This window comes from Homo sapiens, chromosome 10, assembly GCF_000001405.40.
Source record: "Homo sapiens chromosome 10, GRCh38.p14 Primary Assembly".
Classification (NCBI taxonomy): Eukaryota; Metazoa; Chordata; class Mammalia; order Primates; family Hominidae; genus Homo; species Homo sapiens.
The window spans coordinates 62,455,307-62,472,889 of NC_000010.11; the positions used below are offsets into that span (position 1 = coordinate 62,455,307).

Here is a 17,583-nt window from a genome sequence, read left to right on the forward strand (position 1 = left end):
CTAACAACAGATTATGTAATGGGCCCCTGTGGACTAAATCAGCAAAAGCAAATGATCCAGATGTAGAACACTGTTCATCTCAAAATATGTTGGTATCTTTAAAAGTAAAAACTTTTTTTTCTGGTGATAAAGATAATACATGTTCAATACAGAAATTTGGAAACTATAGAAATGTACAAAGAAGAAAATGAAAGCATCTATAATCCCATGAACTGGAGCTGAGATATATGTATATGTACATATACTGTATATGAGAGATAAAAATTAAATATTATATTTATATTTAAATACTGATTTATAAATCTCATATATACATAGTTTATTTAAACTATGTGCATATGGTAAAATAAAATTAACTTAGAGAAGGATAGAAAATAAAAAGTAAATATTGAATGTTTACCACATGCTGGGCACAAAATATAAGAACTTACATATATTTGGTTATTTAATTCTCACAGCAACCTTGTGAGAAAGGTCTGCATGTATTCTGCCATTTTACTGATAAGTGAATTGAAGTACAGAAAGATCAATGTGACTTACCCAAGGTTCAGTAACTTGTAAGTATCAGAGCTGGGATTTGAAAGGAAACTAAGCTGTTTTTCCTCCAGGGCCTGTACCATGAAATCGTGATGGGGCAATTTTGAATGATGTATTTAAACTTCTGTTGTTTGATTCATTGACTTTACACAGTGACTCCTGACACTCCACTACAGCGTTGTCCAACTAAACTTGCTGCGGTGATGGTGATGGACAGATTCAATATCTGTTCAATCTAGTACAGTAGCCACTAGCCACATGTAGCTAGCTGTTGAGCACTACAAATGCTGCTACTGTGAACAAGAGGCTGCATTTTAAATTTTAATTAATTTAAATTTAAATGACCAACTGCTGCTAGTGGCCACCCATGGGACACCACAGATCTCCATAAGATAAAAAAAAAAATGAACACCTCATCCCTTGGTCATATTCTCTGTCCCAGTAAAACCAACTTTATTTCTTATTTCAGTCCTTTCCCATGATCATCTCCATAAAACATGCCTATATTTATATTTCTTGATTTACTGAATTGAACATTATGTTGTCCATGCCGTGTAAGATGAGAAATTATTTTGTGTACGCCACTCCCCCACCCCTCTCTTCTCATTTTTATGAATTTATTTCTATCATTGGTTACCTGTATACTTTGGTATTAGTTAAGATTCTTCTGATTGCAAGTTGGATAGAAAAAGCCAAATCCATCTGATTTCAGCAATACAAAAGGAATTTACTGGCTCATATAAACAAGATCAGAGGCAGAACTGGCATTAGACCAGGCTAAATTGAGAGCTCAATGTGAGCGGGACTCGATTTCAGCTCAGCTGTCCTCAGTCTGCACACTTCATCTTCAAGTTCTATGTGGTGACCACAGCTGTAGCTCTGGTTTCATATCCTCTTAGATTCTAGACTAGCAGGAAAGTAAGCATCTGTCTTTCTTGTAATGCTATTTAGCTGTGACCACAATGATGCTCAGTTAAAACACACACACGTGCGCACACATGCACACACACACACACAAACTCAGTGATTACAACAATAAGCATTTACTTAACATGTGTATGTGTGGGTTGGCTGAGGTCAGATGATCTAGATTGGGCTTGTTGGGGGTTCTGCTGATCTTAGTAGGAGCTGCTCACACTTCTGAGCTCAGCTGGGGGTCAGCTAATTTAGGCTGGGCTTGTATGGACAGCTCTGCTGATCTTTCTTACGCTTCTGGGCTAGTGTAGCTCAGCCCTGTTCCATATGTCTCTTATCTTCTTTCCTGAGACCGGTGACCCATCCCAAGCATATTCTCATGGTGATGACAGAGGCACAAGAGTGCAAGACCAGCTGCACAAACATGTGTACCCTATGCTGTGTCATGTCTGCTAACATCTCATTAGCCAAAGAAAGTCACATGACTGTACCCCAAATCAACCGAATGGAGACGTACTCTCCTCCCATGAAAGTGAGAAGGAGGCAGAGAATATTTCTGCACAATAATTTTCTATACCACTTAAGCAGATGGGGTTGGCTTGCTCATTTCAAAACAAGTGATGTGGCCAAGGGCATAGGTTGTACACTTTGGCCTAGACCTAGGTCCCATATTCCATCATGGGTGTAGAATTACATTCACATTTGCCAAAGCATGTGAGCTAAGAGTGGAGAAGGAAGGCTTACTTCAAATGAAGGTTAGGGTTCTGCTAGCTACATATAGGGGAAATGGATGTGAGATGGCAAACCACAGTGACAATTATAACTTTAAACAATAGACTTACAGTTTTATTTCTTGAGTCTTTGGTGTTAGATAGTATCCTTTGACACCACATGTATAACAGTTCTCTTTCATGCCCCATTTCCACTCTGTCAACTCAATCATTCATGCTATTTGTTTATATTTATGAATGAAGGGCTAGGTAATTAACAACGGTGGCTAGGTGTCAGGTGCAGCTCCCTGCCACTGAGTAGGTGTGTCTCCTCAGTAAGCATATCTGAGGTTGGTGGCTGGCTGTGTACATGGGTGGGATGTGTCAACCACAAGCTTCCCTTTAGGATGCAAGTACAGAGAATCATGCAAATGACTTTCTTTTCACCTCAAAACACCAAAAACAGAGGGCTTCACTGTGGAATGCCAAATACCATACAACAAGCCTTAGCTCTCCCAGGGAGACATCTTATTTTCTTAATAGATCAGATCTTGGGGAGGGGACGAAGGTTTCTGAATCCCCTCTTGCTGCTCCATCTGTATGCATGGGAAAAGAGGAGAGAGATGACAAAAGTCAAACGGTGCAACCATTCTCTGGTCAACCTTCTGTTAATCACTTGGTTTTTGCTCCTCTTTCCATTCCTGAGTTCTGAATCTGTTCATGTCCAACGTGAAGATTCCCCAAGGCTTCTTTGGAAAGAACATTCCACCCTTTCTGCAGCCTCCTCCTGAGTATATCTGGGGTGCTGCTTTCTCTGCTCTGTTTCATCTATCCATACTATTCACTGTCTTTCCTTCTTCCAGAAAAGTATCAAAATGTCTGCTGATGGTTTCCTTTTTTGTCTTCAGCATGGTTATGAATTTATTTCCTTAACTGACTCTTCAGCAGAATTTTGAAAAGGAGTGTAGATAAATGCAAGCATCCAGTCCACCATCTTGAACACACACACACACACACACACACACACACATATATATATAATATTGTGTGGGTATATAAATGTGTGTGTATGTGGGTGCATGCACATGTGTTTTTTTTAAAACAACATTAGATTTTGCCAGTTACATTTTTGCTACTGGCTTAATTGAATACCCTTCTAGAAGAGTTTTGAAAGCTGTTTCTTAAAACCACTTGGGGAAAACAGGGATCTTCCTCTCACTTTATTATTATTTTTTAATAATATTAGCTGAGTTTTTGGTCTTTTTTCCTACCTGAATGAACAAACTTCAGAGATGATACGATCTGTTACACAGAAATCTGTTTAAGTTGTACTTAAAAACAAGAAAAGATATGTTGATTCTAACCTCTGGAGGTCAGCATTGGCTTTATCTATATTTTGGTTTTTTGTTGTTATTTGTTTTTAATACTGAACAATCCTAAACCCTACACCCTTATCAAACTAGAGCATTCACTTCAAATCCTGAGAGTAGCTGGTGAAGAATGGGCCTGGAATAAGAGTGGGTAAATGACCCATGAAAGAAATGACTATCTTATGTTGGATCTAAAACCTAACTAGTAAATATTTATTTGTTACTGTTAGTACTATGTATACATTTACTGTATGCCAATAGTATTCAAAATATATGGTTCTACTGAGGATGGCTAAAACACACATAGATGGAGGGAGAGCTTCTGCCTAGTGGGCTTCAAATTGAAAAGATGCACAGCATTGAGATAGACACTTTCCAGGAGAAAACCATGACTCACATGGGGATGACTTCAATGGCATCTGGTTTCCATCTTCTTTGTTTCTTCTCTTGGACTCCATTCAGAGGCACTTCCTTCCAGCTGGATCTTTTAATGGCATAATGTGAAAGCAAGATCCACAGAAGTGGGTTTACAGGAGGGACTTGAAGGAGAAAATGCAGATCATCAGGGGGAGACGATGGAAAATTACACCCAGATGGGAGGGAACAGAGAATGTACACACATCCAGACTAAAATATACCAATTAAAATATTTAGGGAAATGAAGAGTGGTGTATGATTTTTAATATAGGGTAACAAAACTCTGAATGCAATAAAAAGGCAAAGTGATATAGTCCTGATTGCAATTAGCACATTAATGCAATTTCTGTTTCTAGCCTGGGAAAATATGTCAGCTCTCTTTACTTAAATGAATGGAACATGGCACTGCTTGTAGTCTTGCTGTGACTTATTCAGTCTACACACTAGCTCCATTCATGATGGCAGTACCCTTCTTTTCCTTTCAGAGCTGGAAAGGTGCTGGCGAAGCTCGCCTGGTGTGCCAAAATGACCTGGAATTGGAGGTAAAGCCACCACCTGGGTGGGTGGGTTGGGCCTGGTTACAATAACCAGCAGCCCATCTGGGTCCATATGAGAGAGACTGGAAGGGGCGCAGCAGGCCATTGGTTTCTGTATGAAAACACACATTTTCACATTCTCCTTCTCCCAAGTCATCATTAGCAAGGAGGAAAGTCTGTTTCTTCCTTTAAAATGAGGGTCCATTATATTCTGTAGCTTTTCCCCCTATATATGATGTTCCTTTTAACTGAATAGTACCAGATTTGAGTGACTTGCCACTGGTCTTATTCTCTTCTCTACCTCCAAACAGCTCTTGAGAGGGGCCATATCACTGGGAGGTAAGTGGTGATGGCATGGAGGCTGTAACGATGGTTACAGTTCTTCTGTACATTGTGGCAGTCAGACCTGATCCGAACTGACAATAAGTCAAAAAATAATTATTGAGTACTTGTCCAAGTCCCTGCAGAGATATATATTAATGAGTAATTCTTCAGTCCCTCTTTTATGTGCCAGGGATGCATTCAAGACCCGCAGTGGATGCCTGAAGCTGTGGATAGTACTGAACTCTTACATGTTTTTTCTTATAAATACATACCTGTGATAAAGTTTAGTTTATAAATTAGGCACAGGAAGAGATGAACAACAATGGCTAATAATAAAATAGAACAATTACAACAATATAGTGTAATAAAAGTTATGTCAGCGTGGTCTCTCTCTCTCTCTTAAAATACCTTATTGTACTGTATTCATCTATTTTTGGGCCATGGTTGACCATGGGTAACTGAAACCTAGAAAAGCAAAACCTCAGATAAGTGGGGACTACTGTATAGAAAATGGTAATATGAGACAGATTGCTCTAAGCCCTAAGAGAGATACAAATCAGGCTAATGGGAACAATAGAGGTTAATTCTGATGTGGTGTTGGGAGACAGGAGTACATATCAGAAGACAAGAGTTGAAACGACAATGTGGAAATGTATGGGGAGGATTCTTCACTTCATTGGTTTGGCTAAATTCTGGGGCAGCATTGGCTTTACATATAGGCCAGGGGTCCACAAACTCAGATGCCCATAGGAGCCAGACAAGCCCCATATATATGTGAATCTGTCCAGGTGTGAAGCAATCGGGAGTGTTGGAACCTGTGAGAGAAGGAGGGTCACGCCCCCACAGAAAGATCTTCAATTTCATGTTAAAAATTCAAACAATTCATGCTGTTGTCTGCAGATCTTCTCCGTCCTACAAAGACTTCCCTGTGCCTCTACATTCAGACTCAACTCCTCCACCCCAGAGAGAGACCCAAGCTTCCTCTCAAACGCACAATCATATTTCCATAACTAACAGAATCTTCTAGGGCTGATCCTCCCAGAAATATGAGCGAGCAGGCCTTAAAGACAAGTACACATCTCCACTGTGGGAGATGGGATTCTTTAAAGGGCAGTTTAATCAGCTTTCGCAGGGCGTTCTATCACACGTGGGCCAAGAGCCTAGCGCTGGAGGAGCTGGTAAAGCTGGCTGAGTCTCCTGTGATTTTTCCAGGACTGCCCCCAGTCGGAGGGGGAGGAGGAGAGCTTCAACCAGAGCAGCTGTTTCACAGGTTGAGCTCCTGAGTAAAATCTTGTCTGAACAGGGAAAGGCCTCTGAGCATAGTTATGACACAGATGGGGAAACTCCATCCCTGCTCTTCAGATGGGGGCTTGGGTGGACGCCCTGCCTGGGCTTTCCTGACCGTGTTCCGCACGGAGCTTTTCCCCTTTGGCACACAGTGTATCCATCCCATCCCCCTCCCATTCCAATAAATACAAGGCCTTGGATGTAGCTGCTCAATAAGGACAACTTAGTAAAGTCACATCAGTCCTGATTAAATTCACAGCTTGCTGTAGAATTTTCCAGAATTGAAGAATGACAATCGCGGACTTCAATGTGCTCCACAAGTAGCAAATAGGATTAAAGAGAAAATAATAAATTCATACATAGTGAAGCTAAAGAACACAAAAGGGAAAAAAATCTTACAAAAAAATTAAATTAGAATTTAATCCCTGCCTAAAATATCTGCATTCTCTCCTTTAATCCCTTCGACAATAAGCAAACCTATCAACTTATATTAAAAATATAGAGGCTTTATATTAAATCAGAATGTTGTAAATTCTGCGGGCAAACAGGAATACTTTGGAATTCTCTCCCCATCCTTTTTTTTTACTACTAGTGATTTTAGACATTTGCAAATAGTCTTTTTTGGTTGTTGTTCCTTCCTTTGGTTTAACTCAGTGATTCTCAAACTCTGGCATGCATCGGAGTACTTTGTATAGGGCTGGACCTCCACCACCCAACCATGTATACAGGGGGAGTTACATGAGATTCTCACCTGATAACCAATTAGATGTTTCAGCCACTACCTCCCCTCCCACACACACACACACAGAGGAGGCTGACTGTGGTGAACTCAACTGTGTTTGCTCTCCTTATGTTTTACACTTTCTCTTCATATCAAATAGGTACTCAGACTTGTTCTTCCTTGCTTAAGGCAATAAAGGAGAAAGCCTAGAGAAAGCTTCTTTAGGCTGGAGAAGAAGAGACTGCCCTGTTGCTCCTGTGAGCTGTGGGAGCCAGGAACCGCTCCATAAGTGTACCCCTCAGAAGGGAGGAGGCTGTGTGTACTCCAAGGGAGGCTAGACCCTAAGGGTGGGTTTTCTCACCTCCTAGAGATCCCTGGCATCCCACATGTGGCCTGAAATAGCAGAGATGAGATCTAAGTGGGCCATGTAGACTGCGACAATTGCTACTTCAGCACTAACCAGTGTAGACAGATGACAAAATACTAGAGTAGTCTTCCCTCAACATTGCATAAGACCCTGTACTCTGTAAGACCCAGACTTTTGCAGAATCCTGGTGTGTGGGGGTGTGAGAGCAGCCCAAGCATGGCTGGATTAAATTTCCTGCCAGCTTGGTGGGCTGGTTACTCAGAATCCAAATTTAATTTGATGTAAGGAAATCTAAAAATTTTATGTTTCTTGAACACATGAATTTATAGACTGAGATTTACACCTATTTCAAATATTGAATGCCTTGCTAATGGGAAAGATTTGCTGACAGCTACAAGGGATCTATCTCTGCCAGCTTGGGATGGATATGTCCCATGAAAATACATTTCTGAAAGGTGAGCTCATGTCAGCAGTGGGAAGCCGTAAAGGTTGAACTATACCAGTAGTTCAGTTTCTCAGTTTTTCCAAGGCCTTGTTGTGGATCATTTAGCTAGTGCCCTGATCTATCCTTGCCAATACTTTTGAGGGTTAAAAAACAAACATCAAAGTGCACACATTGAAAAACAAACCAACAAACAGCTTCACTCTTAAAAATCACTTTATTAGGCTCAAGATGAGCTCCTGCGTGCAAAGCTCTCAACAGCTAGAAACTGTGGGGCAGGCAGCCGCCTACTTCCCATCCAAGTCATGGTGCTTAGGGTTCAACTTGAATGGCTAATTACTGGTCACCTCACCTTCTTGTCAAAGCCAAAAGATTATACTTAATGCACAACTTAAGCCGTCCCCTGGACCTCACTTATTTGGGCTGGCAATCACGTTTTCTGTTCCCCTCCCCACTTACCTTAAGTTTTAGTAATTGCCCTCTGGGCTCAAAAGAGCATCCCACTAAGCCATTGAAATGTTGAAAAGCTCCCTCACATGGGACATGTTTATCTGCACTCAGAAAAAGAGCCGGGACAAATATGTGCGGCTTTGGTACATGACAGGATGCAGATTTCTTGTGAGCAATTTCTTAACTTTCAGCTTAGTAATAACTATAATCAATGCAGTGCCTTTAGAGTTGGTTAGAAGTGTTGTTACACAGTAACTAGAAACTTTAAAGATGGTAAATAAATCATAATGGTGATATTTTCCACAGTGTAAACATAATGCCCAGTATCCCTTTGGGCTTTGCAAAATGCAGGAACACTTGCTCAATCCATCTTTCTAGGAATAAAGAAGAGAAAGCCCCTTTTCTAGCTCTTCTCTAGCCCTTCCTGCTGTGGGATTTCTAGTAGAAGGACTTGCTCAACTCTGGGTAGCTTTTTCAAGGTTGCATCCAATGATCTACTACCAACTAACAGGTCACCCCTCCAACGGATGAGAGACTCAAACTGTGCATTTTGGGATCACTTTAAAACACTGACACCAGCGGGATGTAGGTGTAGTCATCAAAATGGAGCCAGGTGGACATTATCAATAAAAAAACAAAAGTCTTTCAACTCCAATAGGCCTAATATTGAGCCTCACAACCCAGTCTTGAGCAATGAGAGCCTGGATAAGTAAATAACTTAAGAGATAAATACATGTGTAAGCCTCACCTGTAGGGTGAGCATTATAATGACTTTGGGACTCACCATATTCTTTTCTGTGTCAAGTTCCTATGCAATTCATTCTTCCTGCCTTGCTAATTCTTATTCATGCTTACTAGCTCATTGTAAATATGATTTTTCTCCAAAAACTTTCCTGCTATGATCTCCCATATATGTTAGCCCCCACTGCATGGTCTTCCTCTCAAAACACCCCATCCTATTTCTTCACAACACGTAAGAGGATTGTAACTAAATCATTTTCTCTGTAATTTGTCTCCATTGTTGGAATTTAAGATCCAGAGGGGCAAGGAGTGTTTCTTTTGCTTACTGTGGTATCCCAAGCGCCTTGTACACAGCCTTACTCATAGCAGATGTTCAGTAAATAGTTGTTGAATGAATGGATGGTTGCTCTGTCTGTTGAGGTTGGTGTAAGGATTGTGAGGCAATGCCTCTAACAGAATCTGCACATAGAAGCAGTCACATCAATCCATTTTAGCTTTATTCCTCCTTTCTTTCACTGGTGTTTGACAGATATATTCCTTTCCCCATTTTCTTCCACAAACTCCAGATTTTTTATTTCCTGGCAAAGAATAATAATTTTAGAGCTGGGGGTATAGGAGGATTATCACTTTATGGATCCTCATGTTAGGGACACAATACTCGAAGTCATAAGAGAAATTGTTAATTGTCAGAGTCACATAATCTATGTGATGGTGATGGTGATGGTGGCGGTGGCCCATCTGGAGTGGCCACTACAAGGATGCCAGCTATAGCAAGGGAGGCGCAGCCAGAGCTGTGCACTCTGCAGCACCAGCAGGGGCCGGAAGCAGGTGGTGCCAACAGGAGCCCTGCACCCTATCAAGTTGGTGGGATGGGAGCCTGTGCTCCCGGGTGCAGATGCAGCTGCCCAGCCACCCAGCTACAGCTCCAGATCCAAGCATCCCTTTGCTCTCAGGATCCCAGGAAGCCCCCTACCCCTGCAGGCTTGGAAGTGCCTGCTCCTGTTCCCTGGCCTTGTCCTGCTCCCGGAGCCCACTTCAGTGCAGAGCAAAGTTGTAGCTAAGCCTGGGTGCTGTCGCAACCTGGTCAGGTTGCACATGCTTGGAGCAGCGCTGACACACCAGTCGCCTCTCCAACTGCCTTGGCTTCCTCCAGGCTTTGGGCACTGACAAGTGTGAGAGGGAGGCCAGGGTACTGAGGGTGGCTTGGTGCAGGCCTGCAGGTGCCCTTTGATGTGGACAGCCTGGGCGCTGTGGATGGCACGTTGATGGTGGTGGGGGGCAGACAGGTTCCTAGGTGGGAAGGGGTGTGTCCCTAGTGAAAACCCACCTTCAAGCCAGGAATGCTCTGGAGGCTGGGCTGCCAGTTCCAGGTGGAGTCCATGACCCAGAGTGAGAACTCATGGTGTTTTTTCAGGCCCACCCATGGCTTCCCATGGACCAATCAGCATGCACTTTTTGAGCCCATAAAAACCCCAGACTCAGCTAGACTCAGACACTCACTGGGACAACCTGCCTGTGGATAGAGGCTACCCACTTTGGGTCTCCTGAGAGCTGTTCTGCAGCTCAGTAAAGCTCCTCTCTGCCTGGCTCACCCTCCAGTTATCCACATAACCTCATTCTTCCTGGATGTGGGACAAGAACTTGGGACCCACTGAATGATGGGAGTGAAAGGAGCTGTAACACGTTCCTGGCTGGCTTACTGAGCTGCAGGCAGTGACACACTCCCAGACTGTGGAAGTGAAGCATCGCAACCCTTCTTGGGGCCCAGACCCCAGGGTTCCCTGAGCCAGAGCTGTTGTAACACTACAGCCCTCCCATGCTTCACTTGCACCCAGAAGCCACCCCATGGGATGAGAAGCAGCAGTGGGGACAGGCCAGTCCAAGAGCTGTGGACCTGAGTGGGGCAGTGGGACTAACACAGCTGTAACACAAATAGGCTGAAACATATCCACCACTCTGTGCACACCCCTACTCACTGCACTGCGGGCGACAAGAAGGAGAGAAGAGTTGAAGCCCTTCTGGAAGCCCAGACCTTGGGGCTTCCCGAACCTGAGCTGTGACACACTGTAACACCCTCTTTGGGGTTCTGTAGTTCCTGGCATCTCCAAGCTTTCAGGTGCCACTGCATTCCCCTTGTCTGTCCAGACCCTGGTGCCTGCAGTGGCAGTCACTTGGGGCATGCAGCCTCACATGAAGCCAGTGCCTGTGCTGGCACCTGGAGCTGCCCACTCTGCTGCAGCAGCTGGTGTGCCTGGCTGTGCACAGCAGCGAGACCCTGCCCCTGCTCATGCATTCACACACCCCCTGCCACTCTGTGCCTGGCTTGTCCTTAGCAAGTATGGGATCTGGGCCAGTAGCACGGGCCGAGCACAGCCTGCTGGGCTGTGTGGGTGAGACAAGCCCAGCAGGAGTAAGCAAAACCCAAGCAGAGGCACTGCTGGCCATAGAGGTTTCTGGCTGGTGAAATGACACCCTAAGCATTCTGTGACAATGGTGCATTTGGTGCAAGGTCTCTAGCTTCTGCTTCTTTGTCTATAGCTCTAGCCTTTGTATTGCACTCAGTATATACTATAGTTTTTTTTTTTTCTTAATCACCAACATTTGCTAAAACTTTTGCCTAACCAGAGCATTCAACAGGTTACTTGAAATGCTAACCTTATAAGAGTCTGACCTGGCTGAGACTGTTTTTATTTTTTGGGACAGGGTCTCACTCTGTTGCCCAGGCTGGAGTATAGTGGTATGATCACGGCTCACTATAACTTTGACCTTCCAGGCTCAAGTGATTCTCTTGTCTCAGCCCCCTGAGTATCTGGGGCCACAGGTGCATGCCACCACACCTGGCTAATTTTTGTATTTTTTATAGAGATGGAGTTTTGTCTGGCTGAGACCATTAATGAGAAAAACATTTCCTACCAAAATTCAGCATACATTAACCATTTGCAAGTAAAATAACCTAAGAAATTTGCCTTCAACCTGAAAAAAGGGCAGATTTCATTTGCCATAGGCAAGGCAACTGGAATAAAATGTTAAATTTTTAATTTTTTTAAAATCCAAAGAGATATTAGATGTTTTCTTCTTTTGTTGTGTGATTTGTCAGAATTCATACTGTAAGGCTTTCAAATTAGTTCACTGCATGATTCAATGCTAAAAGTGGTCAAAATTGTAGATTTTTTTTTGTTCCAATACCCTTGATCTTTGACAGTTTATAGATAATTTGGAAGAAGTGAAAACTGGCTGTGAAGATTAGATTATTTTATCCAGTTAGAGGGCTGAGTAGCAGAAAGTTGTTGGAGGTCTTTATCAAATTCAGATCAAAGACTTCTGGGAATTAATGAGTATCTTGAGAGAAACAATCTGTTAGACCCCTCAGAGATGCAAGATTGTCTTTTTTGGCAGACACGTATTCATCTGAGCACATTGAATGAGAGCATTGCTCATTTGTTCAAGAGTGTACAGGTATATGATATGCGTACTACACATATGGGTTGAGGGATGATGACAAATCCAAGTTGGACTTATATTCCATTGTGACCTGGCCTGGACTTAATGGAATCAGAAACTCTGAAGAAGTGCAGAACTGTCTGAAACAATGAAGTCACCCTTTCAGAGGCAATTCACTCATTCGGATGCTATGAATCATGCTTCAAGCCTCTTTGCTTGCTTTTGATGCTTAAATAAGGAAAGTTCCTGAATGATCAAGTATCTATTGTAACTGTGGCACTCAGCTGCTCAGTCTTTGGGCAGTGTTTGCATTTGCATGGCTCTGTGACAAAACTTTCTATTTAATTCACACTGAGACCCATCATCAACAATATAAGCTCAGGAGCAGAATATACCCATTATTCTCAAAAAGATGAATTTTGCTAAATAGTGATATTTTCCCTGACTTCATCAACAAGAATTGGCTAGCCCTGGGCCAAAAATTGCACATTTTTATGTGAAGAAATTCAGGTAATGTACCTTTATGAGTCGCTTTAAGATTATTTATAAAATTCATTAAAAATAGCTTTTGTCATATGACTACAAAAGTAATAATTCTAAAAATTAGGAAAATATAAAAAAGCACAAAGAAAAAATATCCACCACCTTAGTATACAGTCATATACTATAATAACTTTGCATATATTTCCTATGTTTCTATACTTCCATAAATATACATGTGTGAGAACTTATATATGTATGTATGTATTATGAATATATATGAAGGGACATCAAAATGTTCATGGAAGATGCATATTATGAAACAACTATGCATGAATTTCAATTTTTTGCACCAAAATAAACTCATACTACTTGTTATAACATGGCTGAAACAGGATCTAGTTTGAGGCACTAAGAAAGCTTAGACATAAGTTTGTAAAGAGCCCCTATCAGAGCAACATGAATTCTGCTAAAATTGAAACAAGAACAAACATCAAATTTAGGGTGAAGCTGGGGTTGAAGAATGGTGAAATCACTGATGCTTTATGAAAAGTTTATGAGGACAATGCCCCCCCAGATTAGCAGTTTGCAAATGGATAACTTATTTTAAGAAGGATGAGATGATGTTGAAGATGAAGCCTTCAGCGGCAGACCATCCACATCAATTTGTGAGGAAAAAATTTATCTTGTTTGTGCCCTAATTGAAGAGGACTGATGATTAACAGCAGAAACAATAGCCAACACCATAGACATCTCAGTTCAGCTTACACAATTCTGACTGAAAAATTAAAGTTGAGAATATTTTCCACTTAATGGGTGCCAAAACCACTGTGCCCAGATCAACTGTAGAAAGGGCACACCTTTCAATGGGAATTGTAAGCAAGTGGGATCAAGATCCTGAAACACTTCTTTGAAGAATTATAAAAGAAGGTGAAACATAGCCTTACCAGTATGATTCTGAAGACAAAGCACAATCAAAGCAATGGCTACCAAGAGGTGGAAGCGACCCATTCACAGCAAAAGTGGACCAGTCAAGAGCAGAGTTCATGGCAACAGTTTTGTGGGATGCTCAAGGTATTTTGCTGTTGACTTTTGGGAGAGCCAAAGAATGATAACATCTGCCTATTATAGACTGTTTTGAGCACTTTAGTCAAACAAGGTTTTAGCAGAAAAATGTCTAGGAAAGCTTCACCAGAGTCCCTCTCCACCATGACAATGTTTCTACTCATTCCTCTCATCAAACAAGGGCAATTTTGTGAGAATTTTGATGAGAAATCACAACATATTCACCTTACAGTCCTGATTTGGCTTCTTCTGAATTGTTTTTCTTTAATAATCTTAAAAAAATCTGTAAAGGGCACCCATTTTACTTCAGTTAGTAATGTAAAAAAAGACTGCACTGACACAGTTAAATACCCTCAGTTTTTTAGCGATGGACTGAATGGCTGGTACCATGACTTACAAAAATGCCTTGAATTTGATGGAGCTTGTATTGAGAAATAAAGTTTATATTTTTTATTTATCTTTTAATTCCCTTTTTCTGTGAACTTTTTGAAGTCTCATTATACACGTATGTGTGTGTGTGTTAAAATGATACAACATATTGTTTTGTAAACTTGTACTTTATTATATAATATTAATAATAATGGTGATGATAAATACTATTACTGTGTGCCAGGAACTAGGCTAAGCACTTTATAGAAACTATCTCACTTAATATTTACAGTAACCCTGTGTGATACTATTGTCACCCTCATTTTACATGTGAGGAAACTGACACTTAGTGAGGTTAATTAACTGTCTGAAATCATAGAGGTAGCAACTGGTGAAGCCAGAACTGGAAATGATATCACATTTCAAAACCTGTCTCTTAACCATTATGTAATACCACTTGCCTTCTCAAGACATTAAATATTCTTCTATTGTCTTTTAATGTGTATATATTGTATCATAATATTGATGAAACTATTGCTATTATTAATATATGATAGTTCCAATTTCTAGTAGTATAAATAACAATGTGATGAGCATCCTTTTAGATAAATGTTTGCCTATAACTTTGGTTAGTTTCTCCTGAATACCGACCTAGATAGAAGGATTTGAGTAGCTTATTTGGGAGTGATCCAGGAAACATCAGTAAGGTAATAAGAAAGAGAAAGGAAGAAAGTCCTTGGAGGATTTGTTAATGAGCAAGCCACCACCATGGGCAACTGAGGCCCCATTCCATTATCACCCCTGGGAGTCTGTTCTGCACTCACAGTTGTCCCCATTGAGGGCGAGGAATCCTTAACTTCTATCATTGGTTGAGGACTGCTTCCAGGGCTGTTAACCCTTTGACTTCCAGCCAGCCTAATTCGTGATTTAGCACACTTCCTTATCCAGAAATGATCCCAGGCAGAAGTTGCCAGTGCTGGCAGTTGGAAACTACATTGCATGCATACACAGGATAAGGAGGGACACTGACAACCTCTGCTACAGCCTATGTCCTTGATGCTTTCTTTCTGGATAAATTTAGGTTAGATACAAATCTCAGATATAATAACTTTTGATTGCCAAATTGACCCACAGAAAGGTTGTTAGCAGTTTATACACACTTTCCATGTTATGACAGTGCTGGGGTTTGCTATGTTTAGATACTCATTGTGTATAAAAATGTATTTCATTTTGTATTTTCTTGATCAGTGTTGCAGTCAAACTTTAAAATATAAATATATACTTATTAGTAAAATTAGCTTGTGTGTGTGTGTGTTGCCTTTCGTTTATTTTGATTATTTTTTCCTGTTGGAGTGTTCATCCTTTTAATTTACTGTTTTTTAATGTGTTGCAAAAAATTTTTTCCTGGTTTATTCTTTGGCTTTTAATTTTTATAATTTCATTAACATGGAAGAGTTTTAACCTCTTATATACCTTCATCAGTTTCTTTCATAAACTTGGATTGTTCATGCATTTTTTTTTTTTACTTTAAAAATGTTTAAAACCTCTGGTAAATATGTCTGGTATTTAATTTACAGTTTGAGGTAAGGATCAAATAGGTAATCTAGGCCGGGTGCCGTGGCTCACTCCTGTAAGCCCAGCACTTTGGGAGGCCAAGGCGGGCGGATCACGAGGTCAGGAGATCGAGATCATCCTGGCTAACATGGTGAAACCCTGTCTCTACTAAAAATACAAAAAACTGGCCAGGTGTGATGGTAGGCACCTGTAGTCCCAGCTACTCAGGAGGCTGAGGCAGAAGAATGGTGTGAACCCGGGAGGCGGAGCTTGCAGTGAGCCGAGATTGTGCCACTGCATTCCAGCCTGGGCGACAGAGCAAGACTCTGTCTCAAAAAAAAAAAAAAAAAAATAGGTATTCTCTCTTTCTCATAATGATTTGAAATAGCATCATTTACTTAATTCTTATGAAACGGATCAATCTATTGAAAACAAAAACTGAGGGACCTCTTGATTGATTGACTTGTATTTCTTATATTTTCTGGCATCCATACTTGGAATAGCGAAAGGCAGTATGCCATAGTAACTGCTATTTTAAAAATTTTAAATTGTTGATATTCATATTAATTTATGATTATATGGCTTACTATTGCAAAATCCTGGCTACCTATACCGTACACCCACCATTGCTTATATTCTTGGCATGGATGTACAAAAAAATCTGCATGATTATTCTCTAATTTCCTGCATTTTTTTAACATTCCAGCCTACAAGTCACACTCATAACGTCATCTAGAAAGAAAACATTATTTTGAATTTTTATTGTAAACATAACTTGAACATGATTTTTAAATTACCTTGTCCGCAAGAGGCAGCACTCTATTCAGCAGGATACATTATTTGGTTATAAAGTAAAATTCTAAAAATTGTTACATGTTGAATCAGCCATCAGGGACTCCTTATGTTTCCACAAATGCAATTATCAGTAGCATAAGAATGGAAATTGCCTGTAAGTGTTCAAGCTTCAACAATCTGCCTTTTCTGATGGTGTAGTTACATGGGAGAAGTGAGCCAGAGCTGGGGTGCATAGCACAATACACAGCCTGCTACTTAGCTATCGGGCTCCCTGATTTAACATGCACCTGTCATAGATTACATTTACCGTTTTCCAAGTGGTGCCCTTCAAGCTGAGTCCATGTGGTGTCATCCCACTGTGTTAAAATGTCAAGGGGTTGCTTATCACAAATGCCTGAGAAAATTTGTTGTTCTAAGAAAAGAAGCCTCACAATGGCCTCCTGTCAATACTGTGTTGATGGAATAAATCTCCAGAAAGCGTTCCAATATCTTTCTGTAATCAGTTGAATTGTGACCCACTCCCAATTCCTATGTCAAGGTCCTAAACCTGAGTATGCAGATGGCATCTTTGCAGAAGTAATCCATTTAAAATGAGGTCATTAGAGTAGACCTTAACCCAATGTCACAGGTGTTCTTAAAAAGGGAGAAATTTGAACACAGGCAACACATAGAGGGAAGATAATGTGAAGAGATGTCATTATATACAAGCCAAGGAACACCTGATGATTGCAAAGTGAGGAGAGGGGCCTGTGACAGAGCCTTTCCTAGTGCTTTTAGAGTGACCATGGCTCTGTGGACACCTTAATCTTAGACTTCTAGACTCAAGAACTGTGAGACAATACGTTTCTATTGTTTAAGCCATTTGGTGTATGGTGCTTTGTGATGATGGCAGCCCTAGCAAACTAATATACTTTCCTTGCCTATTTTACATTTTTTGTACTCTCAAAGCATTCTGCCTACATTTCTAGAAGAAATTTATCACACTTTTTGAACTTTAGTCTTTCCTAATTGTTGATGAATGGGTAATATGGATATGGGGAAAATTCCAAGTATAGAATAGCA

The 17,583-nt window shown here is 40.9% G+C and overlaps 1 protein-coding gene across 1 annotated transcript in view, besides 2 other annotated features; it reads left to right on the forward strand.

Annotated features, from left to right (window-relative positions):
* The window catches only part of ZNF365 (zinc finger protein 365), a 105,917-nt gene that overhangs the window by 80,938 nt on the left and 7,396 nt on the right, over positions 1 to 17,583 (forward strand). Inside the window, exon 4 of the mRNA NM_199450.3 lies at positions 4,435 to 4,491. Coding sequence (NP_955522.1) covers positions 4,435 to 4,491 — 57 coding nt within the window. The remainder of the gene's footprint in view (positions 1 to 4,434; positions 4,492 to 17,583) is intronic.
* Positions 2,171 to 2,220: an enhancer, noted in NCBI's record as "active region_3416". NCBI's record gives its function as "activates an Ori minimal core promoter by ATAC-STARR-seq in GM12878 lymphoblastoid cells {active_cell/tissue: GM12878}" and the evidence as "EXISTENCE:reporter gene assay evidence [ECO:0000049][PMID:35858748]".
* Positions 9,498 to 9,999: an enhancer, noted in NCBI's record as "H3K4me1 hESC enhancer chr10:64224563-64225064 (GRCh37/hg19 assembly coordinates)". NCBI's record gives its function as "activates a minimal SCP1, AML or CMV promoter by ChIP-STARR-seq in primed H9 embryonic stem cells {active_cell/tissue: H9 hESC(primed)}" and the evidence as "EXISTENCE:reporter gene assay evidence [ECO:0000049][PMID:30033119]".